General features: G+C 44.3%; 1 pseudogene; it reads right to left on the bottom strand.

The window, feature by feature from the left end:
• Positions 1-3,162: 3,162 nt before the first annotated feature.
• LOC102724459 (proton channel OTOP1-like) overlaps positions 3,163-26,137 on the bottom strand; it is a 31,365-nt pseudogene continuing 8,390 nt past the window's right edge.

Below are 26,137 nucleotides of genomic sequence, written 5' to 3'. Positions count from 1 at the left end.
TCAATATTGCCAATTGCTGTCCTATCTGATTTTATTCATTTACGCTCCCACTAGCAGTATATATGAGTCTTTCTTTCACTTCTTGCCAACTCTTGCCAATCTAATGAATGGGAAGTGGTAACTCATTATTATTTCAATTTGTATTCCCTGAGACCTTAACACTTGTGTATTGCACATTCTGGTTCCTCTTTGGCAAATTGCCTTGGCATTAAGATAGTAAATTTTCCTTGCCACCTACGCTGGTTGAGTCAGGATGCTTAATTACTTGGAGGTAAAAAGCACCTGGCTGAAATAGCCATCCCTGAGGCTGCCTGTTGAGGATAGGAGATGCTTCATCCATCTTTAGATCCTTTCTTGGAAACGCTGAGCCTGGCCAGCCATGCAGGCTTTTCCAAGCTCTGATGCTGCCCTGTGTCCACAATAGCATCCCCACAGCCTGGATCCATCATTCCCAGCATTATGATAGCTCCTTTGTCTCCTTGGAAGAGCCCAAAACCCACAGCTGAGGCCTCAGGGCTTTTCTAATGTGCTTAGAACAGGGGTAAAGGTAATGCCAACCAAAATGGGGAAACCTGTATTCCTGCTCAGTCACTGCTTAGTCAGCATAAATCACTCCAGAGGATAGTTTGTTACTGACCTCAAAGACTCAGTTACAAAGATGATCACCATAGCATTGTTTACAGTAGCACCAAAAAAAGGAACCACCTAAATATCTCTAAATGTCCAACATCACCGTTTGAAAAAATAAGGAATGGTACATCCTTCCATGGAATGTACCTTAAATCCACCCAAAATCATACTGCATATGGATATGCAATGTCAAGGAAACTTACTCGGGAGTCCTAGCTTGGGGTCCATGGACGTCCAAGGAGATGCTTATCAAAGGGAGTTGGCACCCCCTGAGATGCTCATGAAAGTGCAGACTTCCGGGCCCCCCTCCAGACTGAATCTGCACTTCCAGCTTGGAGGGCAGGAATCCTAACAAGTTCCCCAGATGAGTCTCAGGCACACTAAAGCCAGAGCATCGATGCCTGGGACCCAAAATAGGGAAGAAGCACTCTGGTGTATCAAGAGGAAAAAAGCAAGTTACATACAAACGCAGTATACATAAAAACACCGCCTTCATGTGGGTGTGGGTGTGGGTGTGGGTGTCGATGTATGCGTACTTTTGAAAAAAAAAAATATCGGCTGGGTGTGGTGGCCCACGTCTGTAATCCCAGCACTTTGGGAGGCCAAGGTGGGTGGATCACCTGAGGTCAGGGGTTCAAGGCCAGCCTGGCCAATATGATGAAACCCTGTCTGTACTAAAAATACAAAAATTAGCTGGGCGTGGTGGCAGGCATCTGTAATCCCAGTTACTCCAGAGGCTGAGGCAGGAGAATCGCTTGACCCCAGGAGGCGGCAGTTGCAGTGAGCCAAGATCATGCCATTGCACTCCAGCCTGGGTGACAAGAGTGAAAGTCTGTCTCAAAAAAATAAAAAAAACAAAATATATATATATATATATAATTTTTTTAATTTTTATTTTTTAGAGACAGGGTCTTGCTGTGCCACCCAAGCTAGAATGCAGTGGCACAATCTTGTCTCACTACCCAATCTCAAACTCCTGGGCTCAAGTGATCCTCTCCACTCAGCCTCATGAGTAGCTGGGACTACAGGCATACTCCACCGCACCTGGGTTTTTTGTTTTGTGTTTTGTACAGACAGGGTCTCACTATGTTTGTGTTCCCTGGCTGGTCTTAAACTCTTGGCCTCAAGCGATCCTTCTGTGGCCTCCCAAAGTGTTGGGATTACAGGCGTGAGCCACCATGTCCAGCCTGTGTGTGTGTACTAATAGCTACCTAGATAACAATACTTAACAGCAATTACCTCTAGATTACCTCAGCACCATTGACAATCAGCCCGAAGACTTTGTGGTGGGGCTGTCCTGTGTGTTGTAGGGTGTTAGCAGTATCCCTGGGTGCAGTAGTGTAACAATCAAAAATGTGTTTGGTAGCACAAAAGTACAACTATAGTTAACAACAATTTATTGTATATTTTAGAGTAACTAACATAGTGAAATTAGAATGTTCCTAACACACAAAAAAGATACATACCTGAGGGTATGAATATCTGTCACCCTGATTTGATTATTATTTATTATATGTTTATATCAAAATATCACATGTACCCTGTAAGTATGTATAAATATTATGTATAATTTAGATTTATTTTAATTTTAATAAAAAATAAATATTAAAAAATGTCTTCAGATATTGCTAAATGTCCCCTCAAGGAACAAGGTCCCCAGTTGGAGAACCGATTCTCTAGATGGGACATGTATAGATGATGCTTTCCTTTGTTTTTTAGTATATATGCCTATTTTTTAGTTTTTTCTAAAATAAGTGTACTTTAGTCATGTTAAAAAAAAACTTTGTATTTATTACTGTCCCATTGCCTGCACTGTCTGAAAAAAAATACACTCAAATGAAAAGATACATTAATACTTACATTAAGAAAATTAATTTTATTATTATTTTAAAATAGCTGTGGAAAAGCTATACAAAGGCCTCCCAAATGTCAATATTCCTTAGGCACCTTTGAAATATTTCTAAACTTAATCTTTGGACTAGGCATCCTAATTGTAATTCCATATCTTAAAGAAGCAATTCTAAATATAGGAAATGCTTCACAAATATGGTTGATTTTTGCAGAGTTACCTATAAAAGCAAAAAGTTATAAACACTGTAAAACCAACCATAGGAAACTATGTTAATTAAGGTACATTCACTTGATAGACTATCATACAGCATTAAAATGATATTTATAAAGAACTTATAACAATATGGGGGCAAGGTTTATGCCATATTGTTAAGTAGGAAAATAACTGAATACAAAATCAAATATGTTACATCACCATTCAAAGGTATAATAATGACAATAAAAAGAATCTCATCAACATGGTCGGAAGAAATACACCAAGATATTAAAAGTAATTGTTAATTGAACAATGGCATCGTAGGTGACTTTTTCTCTCTACTTTTCTGAAATATCCAAATTTTTTACAATAAACATGTGTGTATTTACAGTGAAAGAGAGAACAGTGAAATTTCTTTTTAAAAATACTTGAAAATGATCACAAAAATGTGCCAACATTTCAGGTAAGAAATGTGTTTTATATGGGTCTGTATACAAATTTCTATCCAGCTGATAAAAATAACTTCAAGAAATTAAACCTATTCAGAAACAATAGTGATTGTGTCTAAATTCATAGGCTTTGAGAAGGATAAATTTTTAAAGTATAAATTACTATGCAGGTGGTCAGGAAAAGGTTGTATGGAGTCACATGATAAATGACACAAAGAAAATGCTTTTTATGAAAAACAAACTGGATAGATTTTTTCCCAAGCCAGAATCACATTCTTCTAAATCATTTAGAAGGCAATAAAATAATTTGGGCTTGATTAGCATTTAACTAACCAAGGACAGATTCCAGCCACCTTATGGATTTTGATCTAACTTGTTTACATTCATCAGGGGTGATGGGCAGTTCCAGCCCACAGGAAGCACAATCTTTGCAGACAAAAGGTGGCCCTTCTCATGTTTGTCAGGCAATATTTGTCCAACCTGGCCATTCCCAGTTGGCTCCAATGAACTCTTGTTAGCTCACTCTTGTTAGTCACTTGTTAGTCTCTTGTGGACCCAGACTATATCTTACAATAGACCTCAAAGAGGGAGGCAGCTGCGTGCATTGCATAGAAAATAGAAAAAGCCATGGCCAGGTTGACCACAATTATCCAGGGTTCAAAGCCAAAGACAATCTCCTCCAATCCATTGTCATACTCAGGTCGACAGCCAAAAGCGGGAGGTATCCAAAGCTGCAAGAGAAGAGAAAATGGCCTGTGGTGGGGAGCAGCTTCCAAGCCACCACGGAGGCCCCACTCAAGTCCCAGGCCTCATGGGAGCTGACCCTGATGCACGGGGACTGAGTCACCCCTGACAGAACAATAAGGAGACCTCGTGGCATTTCCCATCTCCACAGAAACCACCAAATCCATGTCTGCCATGATCCTGCTCACTTCCTCACCCACCCTTCCCTGCAATCCATCCCTAATGAGTGCTCTTTGAACCCATCCAACTCTCTCCATCTCTACAGCCCTCGCCCAGCCTCAGTTTCCTCATTTGAAAGATGGGAATTCTAACACGTGTCTGAGAGGGCTTAGATGAGAATTAAGTTTGCAAAACTGAAAGCAGTGACTTTTGTTTGTGTTGCTCACAGAACCTACGCACTGTTCCCTGCTTCTCAGGCTCTTCTCTGTCCCAGTTCTCTCCCTTTCTGCCACCCCTTGAGTTGTCAGGCTCCTCACTCCCGCTTCAGGCTGCACCCTTCTTCAGCTTCCTCCACTCCCTGGCTGTGGCAGGCAGCCTCTAGGATGACCCTCAATGATCCCCAGCTCCTGCAGTCACCCTCTTGTGGAGTCCCCACCCCTTTAGTGTGGGATGCACCTAATGACTCACTTCCAACTCACAAAATATGGCAAAAGACACAGGAAGTCACCTCTGAAATTAGGTTGCAAAAGGACCTGCTATCCCTCTTGCTCATCTTCTCCTGAAAGACAGGTGGCAGAGCTGCCATGCTGCGAAGCACCCTATGCGGCAAGGGGCCCAGGGAGTACCCCTGTCAACAGCCAGCAAGGAACTCAGACCCTCAGCCCAACAAGCCACAGCTGAATCCTGCCAACAGTCACATGAGTAGATTTGGAAACAAATCCTCTGCCACCTCTCGGAAAGTCAAGCCTTGAAATGAATGCAGCCCCAGCCAACAGTTTCAGCCTGGGAATGGCCCTGTGCAGAGATACTCAGCTAAAACTGTAGTTGGATTCATAAGTCAGAGAAACTATGAAATCATAAATGTACATTGTTTTAAGTTGCTGAGTATTGGTGTGGTCTCTTCCATAGCAATAGGTAACTGAGACACATAGCCTTCATTTGTATCTCCATACAGAACACTCCCTGGTATATACAGCCGACCTCTGTATCCAGGGACCTGTGTCTGTGGATTGAACCAACCACAGATCAAAAATATTCAAAAAGTAGGCTGGGCACAGTGGTTCACACCTATAATCCCAGAACTTTGGGAGGCCGAGGCAGGTGGATCACCTGAGGTCAGGAGTTCAAGGCCAGCCTGGCCAACATGGTGAAACCCCATCTCTACTAAAAATACAAAAAATTAGCAAGGTGTAGTGGCATGTGCCTGTAATCCCAGCTACTCAGGGGGCTGAGGCAGGAGAATCCCTTGAACCCAGGAGGCGAAGCTTGCAGTAAGCCAAGATCATGCCACTGCACTCCAGCCTGGGCAACAGTGAAGCTCGGTCTCAAAAAATAAAAATAAATTAATTAAAAAAATAAAATGGTTTGTTGTGTCTGTACTGAATAGGTACAAACTTTCTTCTTGTCATTATTCTCTAAACAATACAATGTAACAACTATTTACATAGCATTTAAATTGTATTAGGTATTCTAAGTAATTTAGAGATGTCTTAAAGTGTACGGGAGGATGGGTAGGTTACATGCAAGTATAGGACTTGAGCATCTGTGCATTTGGTATACACCACGGGGGCCCTGGAACCAAGACCCCTCTCTTCTGCTTTGCTTACTGGCTGCTGTGACTCTTAGGAGCTCTCCTACTTGTTCGGCGGGTCCCTCCCAGTCTCCTTTGCTGTTTCATCCTTTGCTCTGCCTCTTAATGTTAGCCAGCGTCCAGGGCTCATTCCTGGGTCCCTTTCTATTCTCTCTACACATGAACCCTGGGGCTTTCTCCCAGTCCCTGGTTGTAAATACCAGCTATAGGCCTATGACTTCCCAGTCTCAATCTCCAGCCTGGACCACTTCCAAGAACCCCAGACTCATAGTTTCCGGTGGCAACTTGGGTGTCTAAAACACATCTCAAACTCAACCCACCTTCCCCATTTCTCCATCTGCTCAGCTACATCGTCCTCCCAGGTGGTCCATCGAGGCTCCAGGTGTCAACCTTATCTCCCTCCTACTCTCATAACCATGCCCCCTCCCATCCAGTCCCTCAGCGCATCTCCACTGTGCACCTCCAAAGCAGTATCTTCAGCCCACCTGTGGCTCTCTCTCTCCACCTGTCCAGCCGGCCTCTCTCACCTGGACCATGGCGGTGGCCCCGTGCCTGGTCTCCCAGCTCGAACTAGGGTTCCACTCGGCCACCAGATTTACATTATATGGAAATCAGATCCTGTCCCTACCTTGATTAAACCCCTAAAGTCTTCCCAAAATATTTAAAATAAATTCTACACTCCCGCACGGAGTGATAAAGTGCTCTGTTAGCTGATTTCTAACCACCCACGCTTCTCTCCACTCACCCCACCCACATTGCAGGCAACCCTTCTTCCTGTTTCTCAAACCAGACCCGCTCACTCCCACTGGGGGTTTTATACCAGCCATTGTTCCCTCTGCCCTGAACATGCGTGGCCAACCCCTTCCTGTCTCGTGTCACCCTTCAGCGAGGCCTTCCCGCTAAGCTGGTCCATCTGATCTACAATGGCAGCCCAAGAGCTATTTCCCACACCCTCCTTTTCCACTTCTCTGCTTAACACGGGTACACTATAAGGTGTCTTTCTTGCTCAGTTGATGGTTTCACCTGCTGTTGCCTGGTTTGTAAGCCCCATAAGAGGAAGACCAGAGATCTTGGTCATTGCTGTACCCTCACCATTCATAGCAGTCCCTGTACCTCTGTAGGTACTTAAGGGACACCTTTTAAAGGAAGGGTGAGAGGAAGGGCAAGGGAGACAGGGAGGAAAAGGGAGAAGAAAGGAAGGCAGGAAAATGGGACCTCTTTTCTGAAATCCACATCTTTATATGTGCTGTTTAGTTGGCTGGAAATTCTTGTTACTTATCCTATTGAGAAGTGGCCTATGACCTCTTTCTTTGAATCTAGATGGACTCTGTGACTACATGACTAATAAAATATGGCAGAAATGACACCATGCAGTTTCCAAGCCCAGGCCTTAGGAGACAGGCAGCTTCCAGTTCAGTCTTTTGGAGGGTCAGCTCTGGGGCCCTCAGCCATCACGCATGGAGTCCAACCACCCTGAGACGTCATGCTGGAGACCCACCTGTGGATGCCCCAGTCAAGAGTCCTGGCTGAGCCCAGCCTCCCAGCCACCCCCACCCAAGGCACCAGACCACGGAGCTTCTGGCCAAGGCTTCACCAACTTCACTTGATGCTGTGAGGAACAGAACTGCCCATCCAAGCCCTGCCAGAATTTCTAACCCACAAAGCCACGAGTCACAATAAATGCTATGGGACAAAAACAGTCATGCATGTTGCTTTTGTCATACATTAGTGGTAGTTCATTGCACGGCAATAGAAAACCAAAATATCTGTCTACTGGGTTCGTCCATTTGGATGCCACAGAGGCACCTGAAACAGAACACGTTCATTACTTAACTCTGGTTCTTCCTTCCACACTGACCTCCACCCACTGCTCCCAAGGTTGCCCCTCCTCCAGAGTCCTCCTCCATCTCCAACATAGTATCACCATCTCCCCAGGAACTCAAGTGTGAAGGCAGGGGTCATGTTTGGCATCTGTCACCCTTTGCGAGTTGCAACCTGGAGACCCTGGAGGATGTTATGATGAGTGAAATAACCTAATCACAAAAGGACTAATACTCCACAAATTCACTTATATGAGGAGTCTAGGAGTCAAATTCCTAGAGACTGAAAGAACGGTGGTTGTCAGGGGCTGGGGAGAATGGGGAGTTCATATTTAATGGGGGCAGAGTTTCAGTTTTGCCAGACGAGAATAACCTGGAAATGGATGGTGTGATGTTTGCACAATGTGAACGTACTTTACTCCACTATACACTTGAAAGTGGGTGCAATGGGAAAGTTTATTTGATGAGTTTTTTACCACAATTAAAAATATAACAAAATAAGCATGAGTCAGATCCCGTCACTCTCAGTGTAGACCTTTCCATGGTTTTCTGTTGCATTTAGGATTGAGTCTTGGCTCGCAGGCCCTGTGTGGTCTCCCCTCTGCCCTCTGCTCTGTGCTCCCAGGTCATGTCCAGTGAGCCCTGCCTTGCCTTGCATCCGTCCCTTCCCCACACCTGCAGCTCTGCCCTGATAGTCTCTCATCCCAGCCCCATCCACACCCTTCCTTAGAAGAGGCCTTCCCTGACCCATCTCCCACAGCACCCTGCCCTTCCCGGTCACCACAACCACCCTCTGTTGTCTCCAGTGCCACGGCTCCTGGAAATTCAACTAACATTTCCATGTCCGTCTCTGGAGTGGAGCCCGCTCCACCTGGACATGCACATCAGCACCTGCAGCTGGGGCCTCTGGACTGGCTCCCGATGCTGGAGAAGACAGCTCTTGCTCTCTGCCAGATGCCTTTGGCACCACCTGGGGTCAACCACAAGGTTTCAAAGTGCCACCCATGAGCCAGCACGGGTATCCTAAGACTCCACCCTGCGATGATTTCCATCCTCTGGTTCAACCCCCCAGAACCCAACCAGTGCCTGGGGGCATCATGGGCCAAGCACAGGGAGGAAGAGACGGAGCCCACCCTTCTCCTTGGACTGGGCCCTGGGTCTGGCTTTCGGGTCCTGACAGACCATGAATTGCCACTTGATTCTGGTATTTCGGACAGTGCTATCTTTCTTCAAGTGGGTCCAAAAATGCAAGCCAAGTATTTCACCCAGTGGTCAACCAAAAAGGCAACCAGGGAAAGACAACTTTTCAGAACTTAGTTTTAAAAAGAAATATTAGGTCAGAAGCAGTGGCTCGCGCCTGTAATCCCAGCATTTTAGGAGGCCTAGGCAGGCAGATCACCTGAGGTCAGGAGTTCGAGACCACCCTGACCAACCTAGTGAAACCCTGTCTCTACTAAAAGTAGAAAAATTAGCTGGGCATGGTTGTTGCATGCCTGTAGTCCCACCTCCTCGGGAGGCTGAGGCAGGAGAATCACTTAAACCCAAGAGGCGGAGGTTGCAGTGAGCCGAGATCGCACCATTGCACTACAGCCTGGGCAACACAGCAGGACTCCATCTCAAAATATATGTATATTAATATTAATCACAGGATATGTACAAAAAGCATATACTTGAGGAAGATTCTAGAACTAGCTCTGACTTTATAAGAATTTGCATTTTGGAATATGCACCTCAAAAAAATGCAGCTTACAGTATCTATCTCTCTTGTTAACTCTTTCAATTTTTGACTCACTGCTGTGCCCCTGACATAGTCCCTGGCATACAGCAGGTGCCTGGCAAATGTCTGTTAGATGGAGAAGAGGGTCTCCCTGCAGCCAAACTCTTCTGGGCCTTCCACCTTCAGAGCCCCTCCTCACTGCCTAGCAAACTGAAGGAACCTGGGTGATCCAAGGCTAGGGTGGATCAGGTTTGCTTGGCAGACACACAGCCATTCTGACTTTAGAAGGGACTTACTTTCCCAACTTTGTGTTCTTAGGGTGATATCAAAAGCTGCAGACCCCGTATGCACCATCTGAAATTCAGGGGAGGAAGCTCAAAAGCCTCTGAGCTGCTGGGGCAACAGGGAGCAGGCTTGATAACAGAGGCTAGTAGCACAGAGCTGACTTCACCCAGAGTGATGGGCAGGCACCTCTGTGGACTGGGGCACTCCCCTCCAGCCACCAGTCACCATCACTGCAGAGACTCATGCGGTGGCAAAGGCTGCTTCCCCCTCCTTCTTACTGACCCCCACCATCCTTCCTTTATGTGTCTTTAAAAAAATCCCAACAGCACACAATGCTTCTTATTCCTTTTTCTTCTCTCCATCCCTCCATCACTGCCCTAGTTCAAGCTCCTCCCCTTCCTGCCTGGGCTGTTGCAGGGCTTTCTCTCCCAGTCTTTCTGCTTCTGGCCCTATCTGTCTCCGTCCTTGCTACACACAGCTACTGGGAGGATCATTCCAAAACACAAATCTGAGAGAGTCTTCCCTTGCCCTCAACATAAAGACTAGACTCCAGCCAGGCCTAGGAAGCCCTGCTCAAGCCAGAGTCCACCTACCTGGGCCCTCTCTCCTATTTCCCATTCTGCTACTCTGCTTAACACACATGGAATTTATGCCAAACTACTTGGTGCTCTCAAAACATGCCATGGTGTCTTTTGCCTCTGTGTCTTCACATATTGTGTGTCTCTGCCTGAAATGCTTTTCCCCGCCTTGATAACCTGGTGAACTTCCAGTCATTCCTTGCTGATGCAGACAGATGGGTGAGTGACTGTACACCTTCCTCTCCCTTGCTACCTTCCATCAGAGAGGCTGGGAAGCAAACCCTCTACTTCCCCAGCCTCCCTTGCAGTGAGGGGTGCCCACATGAGAGACATTGTCTGGCACCAGCCCTTCCCCACTGCTTTCTGTCTTGAACCCAGATGTGATGCCTGGTGCAGCTGCAGCCATCTCATGACCATGTCACAACAAACACCACACCACCCAAGTGACAAGATGAACAGTGCCTGGATGCCTGATGACATGGTTCAGCTGCCAGGCCAACCCCAAGCAGCCAACCTCCGGAATTCTCATGAGATAATTAAACATTGTTAAGACTGAAGACACTGTGAATCAAATTGCCTGTCACTTGCAACTAAAAGCACTCCTGATTGACACTGGGCCTCACCTCAAGCACCCACTACTCACTGAAGTCCTTCTGGATCCCTGCTCCTAGTACACCTTGCACAAGCCCATCTCAGCACTTGTCCTGTTCACTATATTAGATTTGCTCATTGTCTCCCTCCCCCATTATACTGAGACCTTTTAGAGGAAAGAGACTGAGTCTTTCCACTTTAATCTTTAGTACCTAGCCCAGCCCCTAGCACACAGCAAGTCTTTAGTAGGTAGATTTGTAGAATATAGGTCTATTTTCCAGCCTTATATTGTAATTTTATACTTACAGTATTTTTATTACAAGCTGCCTCCATTCCTTATTTTAAAAAGGCCAAGAGAAACCTAGATGTCCATCAATAATGGACTGGATAAAGAAAATGTATTATGGCCGGGTACAGTGGTTCACATCTGTAATACTAGCACTTTAGGAAGCTGAGGCAGGAGGATTGTTTGAGCGCAGGAGTTCAAGACAAGCCTGGGCAGCACAGTGAGACCCTATCTCTACAAAAAAAAAAAAAAAAAAAAAAAAAGTTTTGGCCAGGCATGGTGGCCCACACCTGTAATCCTAGCATTTTGGGAGGTCAAGGTAGGTGGATCACTTGAGGTCAGGAGTCCGAAACCAGCCTGGCCAACATGGTGAAACCCCCATCTCTACTAAAAATATTTTCAAAAATTAGCCAACTGTGGTGGCAGGTGCCTGTAATCCCAGCTATTCTGGAGGCTGAGGCAAGAGAATCACTTCAACTCGGGAGGCAGAGGTTGCAGTGAGCACCATCGCACTGTAGCCTAGGCAACAAGAGTGAAACTCTCTCTCAAAAACAAAAAAAGTTTTTAAAATTAACCAGGTGTGGTGGCACATGCCTGTGGTCCCAGGTACTCAGGAGGCTGAGATGGGAGGATTGCTTGAGCACAGGAGGTCGAAGCTGCAGTGAGCTGTGATCATGCCACTGCACTCCAGCCTGGGCAATGGGGCGTGACCCTCTCTCAAAAAAAAAATAAATAGAAAATGTGGTAGCTCTACACCATGGAATATTATGCAGTCTTAAAAAAGAATGAAATCACATTATTTGCAGCAACCTGGATAGAAATGGAGTCCTTATCCTAAGTGAATTAACACAGGAACAGAAAACCAAATACCTCATGTCCTCTCTTATAAGTGGGAGCTAAACATTGGGTAGTCATGAACACAAATATATGAACAATAGACACTACTAGGGACTACTGGGGGAGAGGTCGGAAGTGGGGTGCAGGGTGAAAAACTACCTATCGGGTACTATGCTCATTACCTGGGTGACGGGATCATTTGTGCACCAAACCTCAGCGACACGCAATTTACCCATGTAACAAATCTGCATGCGTACCCCTTGAACCTAAAATGAAAGTTTACAGCAAAATTAAAAGAATAAGAATAACTTGGTGCAGATTACCAAAGTATTGCAGAGGAACAAGAAGGCTGCAATATTCCTCAGGACTTTTCTCTTGGCGTTGCCCTGTAAGAAACGAGGAAGGTGGACTGGGCTTGGGTTCCCTCCCCAGCTGCTCTCCTCGTGCTTCTCCTCCTTGTCACAGCTTTCTCTCAGGCACACATTTCCATTGGCTGCTGGTGGCATGTCCCTGCCCCAGGGAGCCACGTCTCCGGCCACACCTCCACTCTTGAGGCAGGAGGAAGCAAGGGGCATGGTGTTGCCATTGCAGACTGTGACCATCCGAAGGGTTTGGATGTCCTCAGAGAGTTTTTTAGGCTCTCGGTGAATGGATTCAAAGATGAAGAGGTTCTGGATGTACTTCTCCACGATCACCACGATGGAGTAGGGCAGGTTGTACCAGGTGTAGTGGGGGTGGTCCTCGGCACAAAGGATGGCCAAGATTGAGCCCCAGGAGATAAGCCAGGAGCCTGAGGCAGTGCCCACCAAGAGGTCCGAGTCCAGTTTGCGGGGCGGATTTTTGGACTCATCCAGTGACTTCTCATCTGTCCTGTAAATCCGGATTCCAGCCAGCCCCGCAGCCCCCATAAGCTTCATCAGGGTGATGACATACAGGTAGAACGTGATGAGTGCTGACTTGCTCTTGGTCTTGGAGCACCCAATATGAATCAGGTACACCACCCACCACCACGGCAATGGTGGCGGCCAGCGCGGTCAGGCCCAGGACTGTGCCCACTGTGACCCCATCAGGCTTGAACTGCATCTTCTGGTGCTGATGGCTGTCAACTTTGCGCCCGATGTTCTTCCATAGGACGTAGAGCACTGTGGAGGCCAGGATCTGATACTCTATGTTGAAGGGGTAGAGGTAGTAGATATAGTAGATCCCGTGGGAGATGGTGGTGCAGAGAGTTGGGGGCGTGCAGTTACATTGCGGTGTGTGGTCATCTAAAACTAGGGGAGACAGGTTGATCACACAGGGGGGCTATTAGCAGGTGCAAGGGGAAGCAGAAAAGCACAGAAAACTGTTTCCACTGTGGATTCAGGCTTGGGTCTTCCCACTGGATTACAAGCTTTTTCATGTCATGGCTTATTATCACGTTTAATATCATGGCTAATTTGATAGCCCTGAGTATCCCCAAAGCATATTCATTACCTAAATCACATTTATTTGGTGAGTTGCCAAAGAGGATAGAGAAGATGACTCTATTGTTGTAAAAAATAGATATGTAGATGATAGATAGATAGATGGATACACACACACACAGACAGATGGAAAAAACCTGGAAGGACACAAACTAAAATGTCAACAATTGTTATCTCTGGGTGGAAAAATGACAGATGATTTTTAATCTCTTCTAGATTTTGCTTCCCTGTATTTTCTAAATTTTCTCTGTGAAGATGATTTACATGTGTGATTTTTTAAGATTATTTTTAAAAAATACTTTCTGGAGAAAATACCCCTTTTAATTAGCAAAAGATATGCCTCTTAAGACTCCAGTGCTAGCAAGCATGCAGGAGACAGGTGCTCTCCGATATCAGTGCGGGGAAAGTAAACGGGCACCACCTTCTGGAAGAGAAGCTGGCTGTCATATGGAGGGCCCTCTCATCACAGGAAGGCAGATGCTGCAAGTAAATGACGAAACAGGTCACCAAAGCCCTGAAGGCGATGCAGTCTCTGACCCATAATTCCATTCTTTCCATTCTACCCTTCTACTCAAAGGGACAAATAAAAAAATGTAATCAAAGAGTCAGGTAAGGCCAGGAGTGGTGACTCAGCCCTGTAATCCCAGCACTTTGGGAGGCCAAGGCAGGTGGATCACTTGAGGTCGGGAGTTCGAGACCAGCCTGGCCAACATGGCGAAACCTCATCTCTATTAAAACTACAAAAATTAGCCAGGTGTGGTGGCAAGCCTGTAATACCAGCTACTGGGGAGGCTGAGGCAGAAGAATCGCTTGAACCTGGGAGGCAGAAGTTGCAGTCAGCTGAGATCGCACCACTGCACTCCAGCCTAGGTGACAGAGCGAGACTCAGTCTCAAAAAATAATTTAAAAAAAAGTCAGGTAAAATTGTGTGTGTGTGTGTGTGTGTGTGTGTGTGTGTGTGAGAGAGAGAGAGAGAGAGAGAGAGAGAGAGGAACAGCTCAAGGTCCAACAACTTAGAAATTGTTAAGTAAATTTTAGTATATCCCAACAATGAGATAGTAGACAGCCACTGCACGTTATAATTAAGATGTGCTTTATGGTTTTGGGTATGGGGGGGGTTGTTTTGTTTTTTGTTTGTTTTGAGACAGAGCCTCCTTCTGTTGCCCAGGCTGGAGTGCTGTGGCACAATCTTGGCTCACTGCAACATCAGCCTTCTGTGCTCAAGCATCCTCCTACTTCAGCCTGCTGAGTAGCTGGGACCACAGGCCCATGCCACCACTCCCGGCTAATTTTTATATTTTTTGTAGAGACAACGTTCCGTCATGTTGGCTAGGCTGGTCTTGAACTCCTGAGCTCATGCGATCTGCCCGCCTCAGCCTCCCGAAGTTCTGGGATTAAAGGCATGAGCCACTGCACCCAGCCAGGATGTGTTTTAATATTAAGAAAGTAATCTCGTTTCAAGGAAAATGGAAAAAAGTAAGAACAAACTGTATATTTCTTTAATGCAAGTCACAACCCAGTACAAGGCTGTAAAATCAGGTAGCAACCAACTTTTTTGTAGCAGAAATAATTTTCAGTGGACTAGAATAGGATAGAATGGAGTGGAATCAACTCCGATAAAATTTGGAAGCATCTCTGATACAGTAAAATTAAGTATTATTTCATCAAGCATACACACATAAGTATGTGCGTGTTTGGATTACAGTGTAAAATCTGTCTCTTATTGAAGGTTGCAATAAAAAAAGATCAAATATATAGTATAAAATCAACTATAAATAAATGGCACACTACAAAAAAATAACCAAACATTCACAGCATTTACTGCATTTCTGGGTAAGTGTTGTGGATTTTTTTGCTTCACACTTTGTCATTGTTTTAGTTTATGATATGTATATATTACTTATAAAATCTGAGAAAAGCAGCTGGGCGTGGTGGCTCATGCCTGTAATCCCAGCACTTTGGAGGGCCGAGGCAGGTAGATCACAAGGTCAGGAGATTGAGACCATCCTGGCTAACACGGTGAAACCCTGTCTCTACTAAAAATACAAAAAATTAGCCAGGCGTGGTGGTGGGCGCCTGTAGTCCCAGCTACTCAGGAGGCTGAGGCAGGAGAATAGTGTGACCCCCGGGAGGCAGAGCTTGCAATGATCCGAGACCATGCCACTGCACTCCAGCCTGGGCGACAAGCAAGACTCCGTCTAAAAAAAAAAAATCTGAGAAAAACTATATCGTAGCATTAATTTTACTTTCACAGAACACTATGAAATTTTCTTTTTCTTTTTTTATTCTTTTTTATATAGGGTCTCCCTCTGTTGCCCAGGCTGGAGTGCAGTGGCACAAACACAGCTCACTGCAGCCTTGACTTCCTGGGCTCAAGTGATCCTCCTGCGTCAGTCTCCCATGTAGCTATAGCTGGGACCACGAGCCCATGCCACCATGCCTGGCTTTTTTTTTTTTTTTTTTTCCAGAGCTGGGGTCTCCCTTTGTTGCCCAGGCTGGTCTCAAATTCCTAGGCTAAAGCAATGCTCCTGCCTTAGGATTACAAAGTGCTCAGATTACAGGTGTGAGTCACTGCCCCAGTAATAATCTTCAATTCACACAGGGCTTCCCTAGCACTTACAATTCAATACGGTGTTATGCAGAAGACAAGGGAAGAAATCAGGAGGAAAAGTTCAGAGTAACAGAATGTTACAGCTGACAGAGTCCTTTTTTAGAAAATTAATCCAACCTCATCTTTCACAGAGGGCCTTGAAGCCAGATTGTTAGGATTCAAATCATGGCTGTATCACATGTTCATTGTGTTACCCTGGGCTAACTTCTCCGTGGCTTGATGCCTTCATCCATATAATGAGGTTAATATTGTCTACCTGAGGCCAGGCGCAGTGGCTCACGCCTGTAATCCCAACAGTTTGGGAGGCCAAGGCTGGCGGATCACAAGGCCAGGAGTTCGAGACCAGCCTGGCCAACATAGTGAAACCCCGTCTCTATTAAAAATACAAAAATTAGCCAGGTATGGTGGCATGCACCTGTAGTCCCAGCTACTCAGGAAGCTGAGGCAGGAGAATCAATCACTTGAACATGGGAGGCAGAGGTTGCAGTAAGCCGAGATCACGCTACTGTACTCCAGCTTAGGCGACAGAGTGAGACTCTGTCTCAAAACAAACAAACAAACAACTATATATATATATATATATATATATATATATATATATATATACACATACACACATATATAGCCTACCAGAGAGTGTGGGGGTACAAATTAAATGACATGTGTAAATTTCCAACAACAGTGGCTGGCACTCAGCAAATGCTTAATAAAAATTTACTTTTGTTATTGTGGTCATTGCTGCTACTAATATTGATACCAAGGAGGACATGAGGCCCAAACACCGAGTGCCTGCTGGTTGGGGGTGGTGACTTCGTTGTCTCCACCCCACTGATGACAAAACAGGTTCAAAGTGGCTCTCCAGGACAGCCTGGGTTCACACAGCTGTCACAGACTTGCTGCATGTTAAAGCTGGAAGGGATCTTTGCAAGTGCATGATTTGGATACCCTCACTTTACAAATGAGAAAAGGGAGGCTCAGAGAGATTAAATGTCTTCTAAAGGTCACACAGCTTGTACATGATGGGAACAAACCTGAGACACCCAGTTCCCTGCCCCACATTCCCCTCAGCCTGAATGTTCTCATATAGAAGTGACATATTGTAAATGCTAAAGGATTTTAGATGAAAATATAAAGATTAACCCAACAGGCTCTCAAATAGGAACAAGGCAGAACAGACATGAGCTAGAATTATAAGCCAACTACAGTTAAATTAAAACTTTAAATGAACCACAGCCTATTAACCACAACCTACCATTAGACTTTTATGAATTTTTAAAAGCCATACTTTTACTAGAAAGAACTGGTAATAGAGGTTTAATTAAAAACACAAGCAGAGGCAACCATCAATCTTCTGTAGTTGAAAACAAAGACATTTATTTCTGCGGCAAACTGGACCATGAGAAATGGCCATCAGAATGATCACCGTGGGTCTTACAAGTCCCTGAGTCATGGAAGAAACCTTTAATTATGCTCAGTACACATCACTTATGAGAGATTCAGGTTTTGGAAGATTTTCAACAACAGGGGGCTGTCTGGCTGATGCTGACTTTGGTGGGCCTGAAGTTCTTTGGAACCTGCACTCCATCTCTGAACACTGTGGACTCTGCAGGTTTCCAAGACATTCCAACATGGCAGAGGGGCCACTCACCTCTCTCAGCACTCACCTGTTGTTATGTTCCCAAAGCCCAGAGTGATGAGCCATTCCTTGTGCTCATTGGTGCTTTGACTCATTGAGGACGCCGTTGGCCCACAGAAGCAGGTTGGTGAACACCAAGTGGATCACCCCAAACCTGAAAAACACAAGGACTCAGTTCTCAAGCAGCCCTGGGAGAGCCTCAGGCACCATAGGGTGAGACAGACATGTGCACACAAATACACGGCTCCTTCTCAGCCATGATTCTGGCTACATCATGGATGACCCTTGAGAACGTTATGCTGTGAGAAATAAGCCAGACACAAGAAGACCAATACTGTATGGTTCAATTCATATGAGGCATCTAGAATATTCAAACTCATAAAGACAGAAAGTAGAACAGAGTTTGCCAAAAGCCAGAGGAGGAGGAAATAGAGAGTTGTGTAGTGGGCTCAGAGTTTCAGTTTTGCAAGATGAAAAACGTTTGCAGATTGGTGGTACAACAAGTGAATGTACTTAACATTAATGAACCATACGCTTAAAATGACTAAGATGGTAAATGTTATGTGATTGTCAACCTGAAAAAAAAAGACACTAGAGAAAATTATCACTAAATATGTTGGATTTACTTGGAAATAGGAATTACAGTCCAGAATGCATGGAATGGCAAGCCACCAGCGCATTCGGTGAGGGAAGGGTAAGGAGGAGCTGTTATTAGCAAAGAGAGATTTACATAATCCACAGAGAAAAAGAGTTCATCGGTTCTAGAGGCTCAAAGCCAGAGTTGTCATCAGTTCATTGGTGGAGATGCCAGTGCTGGACAAGTGTTCTTCCAAGAGCATCTTATCTGCTTTACTGCAGTCCTAAAGAATGTCTAGTAATGTCCAACCTCTTCAAAGCAGGAGATGCATGAAGGGTTTTTAGAAAGTCTTTGGAAACACTTTGTATCTCAGACACGTAGACAGAAGTGCCCTCTCCTTAGCGCCTTCCCAGGCCTATTTTGCCTGGGTCTGACAAAAGCGATTTCATCCTGATATCTACAGGTTTTTCAGTATTTGCCACAATTTTAAAATAAATGCTCTGTTTTTTAGAACAGCGCCTAATTGTTATATATACTTTTTTCCATTCGCCAGTCATCTAATGTAGCAAAAGCACATGGTAAGTGTCCAACAGGTATAGAATGATTAATTCATTGACTTGCCTGGCCAATAAAATGCCTTAAATTAGAAAGCTAGGATCTCCAACCCACCAACTAAGAGGGATATTTTGAAAATTCATATCTGTCCCAGTCATTCTTCTGCCTAAAGCCTTCAGTGGCTCCCCACTGCCCTCGAGGTGAAGCCCAAGCCCCTAGGTGGCGGTCAGCCTTGACCAAGAATTTGCTGCACACCTAGCCCTGTGCCAAGTGCTTTTCATACACATGTGCCTTTAATCTCTACAACGAGCCCATGAAGTAGGTACTGTGATTGTCCTCACCTTGCAAGTAAGACCCATGAGGCCCAGAGAAGTTAAGTAATTTGCCTGAAGTCACACAGCTGTGGTCAGAGCCAGAGTCATGCAATCTGACCAGAGTGCAAGCTTACAAGCCCTACACCAAACAGGGATCCAGCCTGTGCCCACACATCCTCCCGCTACCCCACTGTGAGGAAAGACTGCATGTCCCAAAGACACCCTCTTCCAGTGGCCTCTGACCCACTAACCCTGTGCTCCTCCCTCTCTCACAAACGGTTCTGGGACCTTCCCTGGCAGAAATTGACTGTCACTCCAAGCTGCCAAAATGCCCTCCTTTGTGCTCCCTCATTGCTCTGGACACTCTGGTCAAAGCACTGAGCCCAGCGTTGTCACTGTTTTGGGGACTGCCTCTCACCTAACTGACACCCCCATGGTGTGTGACACAGACTTTACAGCCTTGTATTCCCCATGCTGAGAACAATGTTCGTCCAGTATTTAAAGATGAACTACAAGAAAAATGAATGAACGAATGCAGTTCGTTCTGGCCTCACGAAAGCTTTCCACATTGTCACTGTATCACTATAAGGCTCTGTCTTCACGGGATTTGGCTCCCCTGGAATGAGCAGCCAGTTATCTTTGATCAGCTTGGGCTGCCATAACAAAGGACCACAGATCATCAACTTCAATAACAGGAATTTCTCTTCTCAGGGTCCTGGGGCTAGAAATCCAAGATCAAGGTATGGGCAGGGTTGGTTCCTTTTGAGGCCTCTCTCTTTGGCTTGTAGATGGTCAATTTCCTCCAGTGTCTTTACATGGCTGTCTCTCTGTGTGTGTCTGTGTCCTTCTCTCCTCTTGTTATAAAGACACCAGGGCCAGGCGCAGTGCCTCACGCCTGTAATCCCAATACTTTGGGAGGCCGAGGCAGGTGGATTGCCTGAGGTCAGGAGTTCGAGACCAGCCTGGCCAACATGGTGAAACCTCATCTCTACTAAAAATACAAAAATTAGCTGGGCATGGTGGCAGGTGCCTGTAACCCGAGCTACTTGGGAGACTGAGGCAGGAGAATTGCTTGAACCCAGGAGACGGAAGTTGCAGTGAGCCGAGATTATGCCATTGCACTGCAGCCTGGGCAACAAGCAAAATTCCGTCTCAAAAACATAAAAAATAAAGACACTAGGCATATTGAATTTGGGCCAGCCTAATGATCTTATTTAACCTCAATCTCCTCTAAACGACCCTATCTCCAAATACAGTCACATGCTCAGGTACTGAGAATGAGGGTTTCGGCATATGAATTTCACAGGGGATATGACTCAGTTCATAACAGCTTTCAAGTGCAAGGCAGCCCCTCCAAATGAGCCCCTCAGCAAGCTCCCCAGTGATCCCACCATGCCACCATGGAGCTAAACTGTTTCCAGGCTCACTGGGCACGTTCTGTCTGTTAGCTTCACTGTTTGAGAATGTGTTTGATCTAGAGAAACACTCTAAGGTCATCCAGTGCTGTCTGGTAAGTCAGCTGGGGGTACAAGCTGACGGTCACTTTGGATAAAAGATGAAGTTTTAAAAATGTCATCCCTGGTTTTCTAGAGGTAGAAAACTTTCCAAAGAACCTTCTCAAACTGGAAATCCAAAAATATTTCCAGCAATGGCAGTATCACCAGAACAAGTTCATGGTCTTCCAGGGTGACTTGTCAGGAAGAAAATAATCATTGTGTCTCCGCAGTGACTTTGAGCAAGTCACTTGTCTTCTCTGAGCTCCAACTTCTTCGTTAGAAAAAAATGAGAGCAGAGCCTGCCATTTGCAACAACATGGGCAAATCTGGAGGACATTGTGCTCAGTGAAATAAGGCAGACACAGAAAGAAAAATACTGCATAATCTCACTTATATGTAGTATCTAGAAAAACGTTTTTAATCCAATGCATAAAAACAGATGGTAGAAGCTGGGCATGGTGATGTGGGCCTGTAGTCCTAGCTACTAGGGAGACTGAGGCGGGAGGATCACTTGAGCTGAATTCAAGGCTGCAGTAATCCGTGATGGCACCACTGCACTCTACCCTGGGCAACAGAGCAAGACCCTGTCTCTAAAATTGAATTAAATTAATAAATAAAAACAAAATAACATAAAGAGTAGAATGGTAGTTGGAGGGGAAAAATTAGAAGATTTTGGTCAAAGGGTACAAAGTTGCAAATACGTAAGATGAATAATTCTAGAGATGTAATGGACAACGTGAAGACTGTAGTTAATACTATTGTATTGTATACTGGAAATTTGCTAAGAGAATAGATTTTAGGTGCTCTTACCACATCCAAAAAAAGAAAGGCAACTATGTGAGATGACAGACATAAATATGCTTGACTGTAGTAATCACTTCACTATGGATAGGAATATCAAATAATCATGTTGTATACCTTAAACATATACAACAAAAAACAAAAAAAAATGAGACTGACAATTCAACAATTCAGATCCTGACTCTGATAACATTACCACGGATTTCTGCCAAGGGCGAACACTACCCTGAAAGCCCATCTAACATTCTTTTCAACCATGAGATTTTTCTGACCCTAAGCTATGTATTTAAATTATATTTATCAAATCCTTCCTTCTGAGCCATACCAAGTTTACCAATGCTGTGGGAAAAAATCCTTATACATTTCTAAGACTTTAATCCCCAAACGAGAAAACAAAAGCGCTTCCATGACCCAGAGGAGGCATTGCAATGGCACAAGGTTTCTATGTAGGAAGAATATTAAATTTTTTTAAAAAATAAAATTGATTTTGGCAATGGTTGCATAACTCTATGAACAGACTAAACCGTTGAATTCCACATGTTAAATGGGTGAATTATATGCCATGTGAATTCTCTCAATAAACCTGTTACATACCCAGAAAATAAAACTCCCTCAAGCTTTTACTGTAGACCCTGGCTTGGCAGAATTTCCTGACTCTTCATCATTAGAAGTTCTGCCTCATAGGATCCCTGCAAAAATGGCCATGGGGACACAGAGTTTTATTTTGCAATGGAGGCAGCTGAAGAATTAAGCCTCAAAGATAGACTTCAGTTCACCTCAGTTCATTGCAGTTCACAGCTGTGCACACTGTCTCCACTTGCCACATGTCTTGATGTTACAAGTTTCTACACAACCTGGGATACACTTCACAGGAATGAGACAACATGAATAAACATCAGTGGTTTACCTGCAACAAAGTATGCACTGAATGGGTGACAGGGAAAACTCCTTCAGTGGCTGATAAACATTCTGAAAATCCAATGAAGTATCTAATTTTAAGGCATCCCAGGATGATGGTAATGACTGCAAACAATGTGATACTACCTAAATGTGGGATAAAGGGGGAAGTGGAAACACACACATTCCATTAATATACATTGATGTCATTTCAAAATAAATTATATTACATATTAAACCCTTATGTATATGGTCAAATGATTTTTTCACAAGGGTGCTGAGACCATTCAATGGGAAAAGGGCAGTCTTTTCAACAAATGTGGGAAAACTGGATGTCCACATGCAAACGAATGAATTTGAACCCTCACCTTACAGCATATACAAAAATTAACTCAAAACAGATAAAAGATCTAAACATAAAAGTATAAACCTTGTAAAAGAAGACATGGGAGAAAGCTTCATGACATTGGCTTTGGCAATAATTTCTTGGCTAGGACACCAAAAATGCAAGCAACAAAAATTAAAATAAATAAGATGAACTACATGAAAATGAAAAATTTTTGCACATCACAGGATGCTACCAACGAAGTGGAAAGACAGCCCACAGAACCGGAGAAAACATTAGCAAATTATATACTTAATAAGTCATTAATATCCACAATATACAGATTTGTTTACATTAAATACCTCATATAATGAAATCGTACAGTACTGTCCTTTGGTGGTTGAGTTTATTTTACTTAGCATAATGTCCTTATGGCTCATCCATACTGTATCATGTGTCAGAATTTCCTTCCTTTTTAAGCCGAATAATATTTTGTTGTATGTCTATACCTCACTGTGTTTATCCATCTATCTGTTGATGGATGCTGGGTCGCTTCCACCTTTTGGATACTGAAAATAATGCTGCTATGAGAGAATTTATAGAGAATTCTTATACATTGACAGCAATGGGCTGGGCACAGTGGCTCGCACCTGTAATCCCAGCACTTTGGGAGGCCGAGGAGGGTGAATAACTTGAGGTCAGAAGTTGGAGACCAGTCCGGCCAACGTGGTGAAACCTGTCTCTACTAATAATACAAAAATTAGCCTGGTATGGTGGTGCATGCCTATATTCCCAGCTACTTGGGATGCTGAGGCAGGAGAATCCCTTGAACCAGGGAGGCAGAGGTTGCAGTGAGCCGAGATCATGCCATGGCACTCCTGGGCAACAAGAGCGAAACTCTGTCTCCAAAAATCGATCAATCAACAATGACAAAAGCCAATTTAAAAATTGGCAAAGGACTTGAATAAACATATCTCCAAAGAAGACATAAAGATGGCCAGCAAGTACATGAAAAGATGTTCACCATCACTAATTATTAGAGAGATGCAAATCAAAACTGCAAAATACTTTCACACTATCAGGATGGCTACTATCAAAAAAAAAAAAAAAAGAAAATAATAGAAAATAACCAGCATTGGTGAGGATATAGAGAAATAGTGCTCTGTTGGTAGGAATGTAAATTGGTACAGCTACTACTGAAAACAGTAGGGAGGGCCTTCAAAAAATTGAAAATACTATTATGGCATGATCTGGCATTTTCACTTCTGAGTATATACCCAAAAGAATTGAAAGCAGGGACCCGAGGGGATATCTGTATTCTCCTGTCCATAGCAGCATTATTTTCAGTATCCAAAAGGTGGAAGCAACCCAGCATCCATCAACAGATGGATGGATAAACACAATGAGGTATAGACATACAACAGAATATTATTCAGCTTAAAAAGGAAGGAAATTTTGACACACGATACGGTATGGATGAGCCATGAGGACATTATGCTAAGTAAAATAAACTCAACCACCAAAGGACAATACTGTAGGATTTCATTATATGAGGTATCAAACGTAAGCAAATTCATAGACAGAAATAGAATGGTGGTTGCCAGGTGCTAGAGGGAGGGAAGAATGAAGAGTTAGTGTTTAATGAGGACAGAGTTTCAGTTTTGCGAGATGAAAAAGTTCTGGAGGTTGGTTGCACAACAGTGCATATGTGCTTAACACCACTGAGCTGTGCACTTGAAAACTGCTAAGTTGGTAAATTTTATGTATATAAATGCATGTTTTACCATAATTAAAAATATATTAATAAAATAAATTCTAGCCCAGGCATGGTGGCTCATGCCTGTAATTCCAGCACTTTGGGAGGCCAAGGCGGGAGGATCACTTGAGGCCAAGAGCCTAAGCAACCCCATCTCTACCCAAAAATAACATAATAATTATTTCTAAATAAATAAACAAATTCTACTGTTGAGCTGCGAAGGTAAAACTAGAAGGCAGGTGTTGTGTCCCGTTCATCATTGTACCCACCCCATAGCCCAGAGTCTGACAAATGATACACAATCAACGAAGCCTGGTCCAGTCAACAGAATGCTCCCAGAAGCTTTTTCAAAAAGGAGAAATCTAAGAATGTCACTGCTCTACTCAAAAATCTCAGTTCTCTAATCCTAAAATCCTGTTCTCTAAAGAATAAGAGTGCAGCTGGCTGGGTGCAGTGGCTCACATCTGTAATCCCAGCACTTTGGAAGGCCGAGGTGGGTGGATCACCTGAGGTTGGGAGTTCGAGACCAGCCTGACCAACATGGAGAAACCCCATCTCTACTAAAAAATACAAAAGTAGCGGGTGTGGTGGTGCATGCCTGTAATCCTGCTACACCGGAGGCTGAGGCAGGAGAATCACTTGAACCCGGGAGGTGGAGGTTGCAGTGAGCCGAGATTGCATGATTGCATTCCAGCCAGGGCAACAAGAGTGAAACTCTGTCTCAAAATATATATATATTAATAAGAAATAATAAGAAATAAGAGTGCAGAGTGTGCAGGTCATACAGGTATACAGGAATTCTCTGAACTGTCTTTGCAACTTTTCCATAAATCTAAAGCTTTTCTAAAATGGAAAGTTTATTTATTTATTTATTTGAGACAGGGTCTTGTTCTGTCACCCAGGCTGGAGTGCAGTGGCACGATCTTGGCTCACTGCAACCTCCACCTCCCAGGTTCAAGTGATTCTTGTGCCTCAACCTCAATCCCAAGTACCTGGGATTACAGGTGTGCTGGCCAGGCTGGTCTTAAACTCCTGGCCTCAAGTGCTCCGCCTGTCTCAGCCTCCCAAAGTGCTGGGATTACAGGCATGAGTCACTGAGCCCGGCTGAAAGTATATTAGAAAAAAAAAATAGATGGGTAAGGGCTCTATAGTAGTAGCTGAGGAAGGGCCTGTGCTAGGTGTACTGAGGAAAGGAAGCAATCTTTGATAGTATAATGAGCATGGCTTTGCCCAAAACATAAAGACAAACTAATAAAAAATTTGCATATAAAAAAGACTGGAAAGGAATGTACAAAATACATTAAAAAGACACTTGGTGACAAATGAAGAAATTAGTGAGAAAAAGGCAATGATCATGAGTGCTTGATCAAGTCAGAGTTCCTCATCTCCCTCCTGGGCTAGCAATGACTGCCATTTACACATTTGCTCCTACCAACAGGAGGAAACTGGATCATGTATGACATGCATTAAGGCACTGAGCAGAGAGGAGGGCATGAGCCATAACATTGGGCTATAACGTTACAGCCCCAGCCTGAGAAGCCTCCTCTGAAAAGTAATGCAATCACCTGGCACTTTTCCACTGCTCAAAGCCTTATAGAAACAACTCTAACTCACATTTTTAATCCTGGAAACACCCCAATGAAATCGGAAACGTTGTAAGAGTGGAGATTCAATCCCAGTGCTTTGAAATGTTTTGACAAATACGTGGTTGGTTTTAATTACAAAAAACATAGCAAGATCAGGTGAGGCAGCGTGGTTGAGTGGCAAGAGTACAGGCCTGAAAGTACGGAGACCTGGACACTCACAGAATACATGAGTCACTTCCTGCTCCCAACCTCAGGATTCCCATACAGAAAATGCGGATGGTCTACAGCAGTGGTTCTCAAACTGGAAACTGCATCAGAATCACCTGCAGGGCTTGTTAAAACACAAATTCCTGGGCTCCACCTCCAGAGTTTCTGATTTAGTAGGT

Source organism: Homo sapiens (genome assembly GCF_000001405.40).
Source record: "Homo sapiens chromosome 1 unlocalized genomic scaffold, GRCh38.p14 Primary Assembly HSCHR1_CTG7_UNLOCALIZED".
Classification (NCBI taxonomy): domain Eukaryota; kingdom Metazoa; phylum Chordata; class Mammalia; order Primates; family Hominidae; genus Homo; species Homo sapiens.
This window is presented reverse-complemented; position numbering and strand designations above follow the sequence as displayed.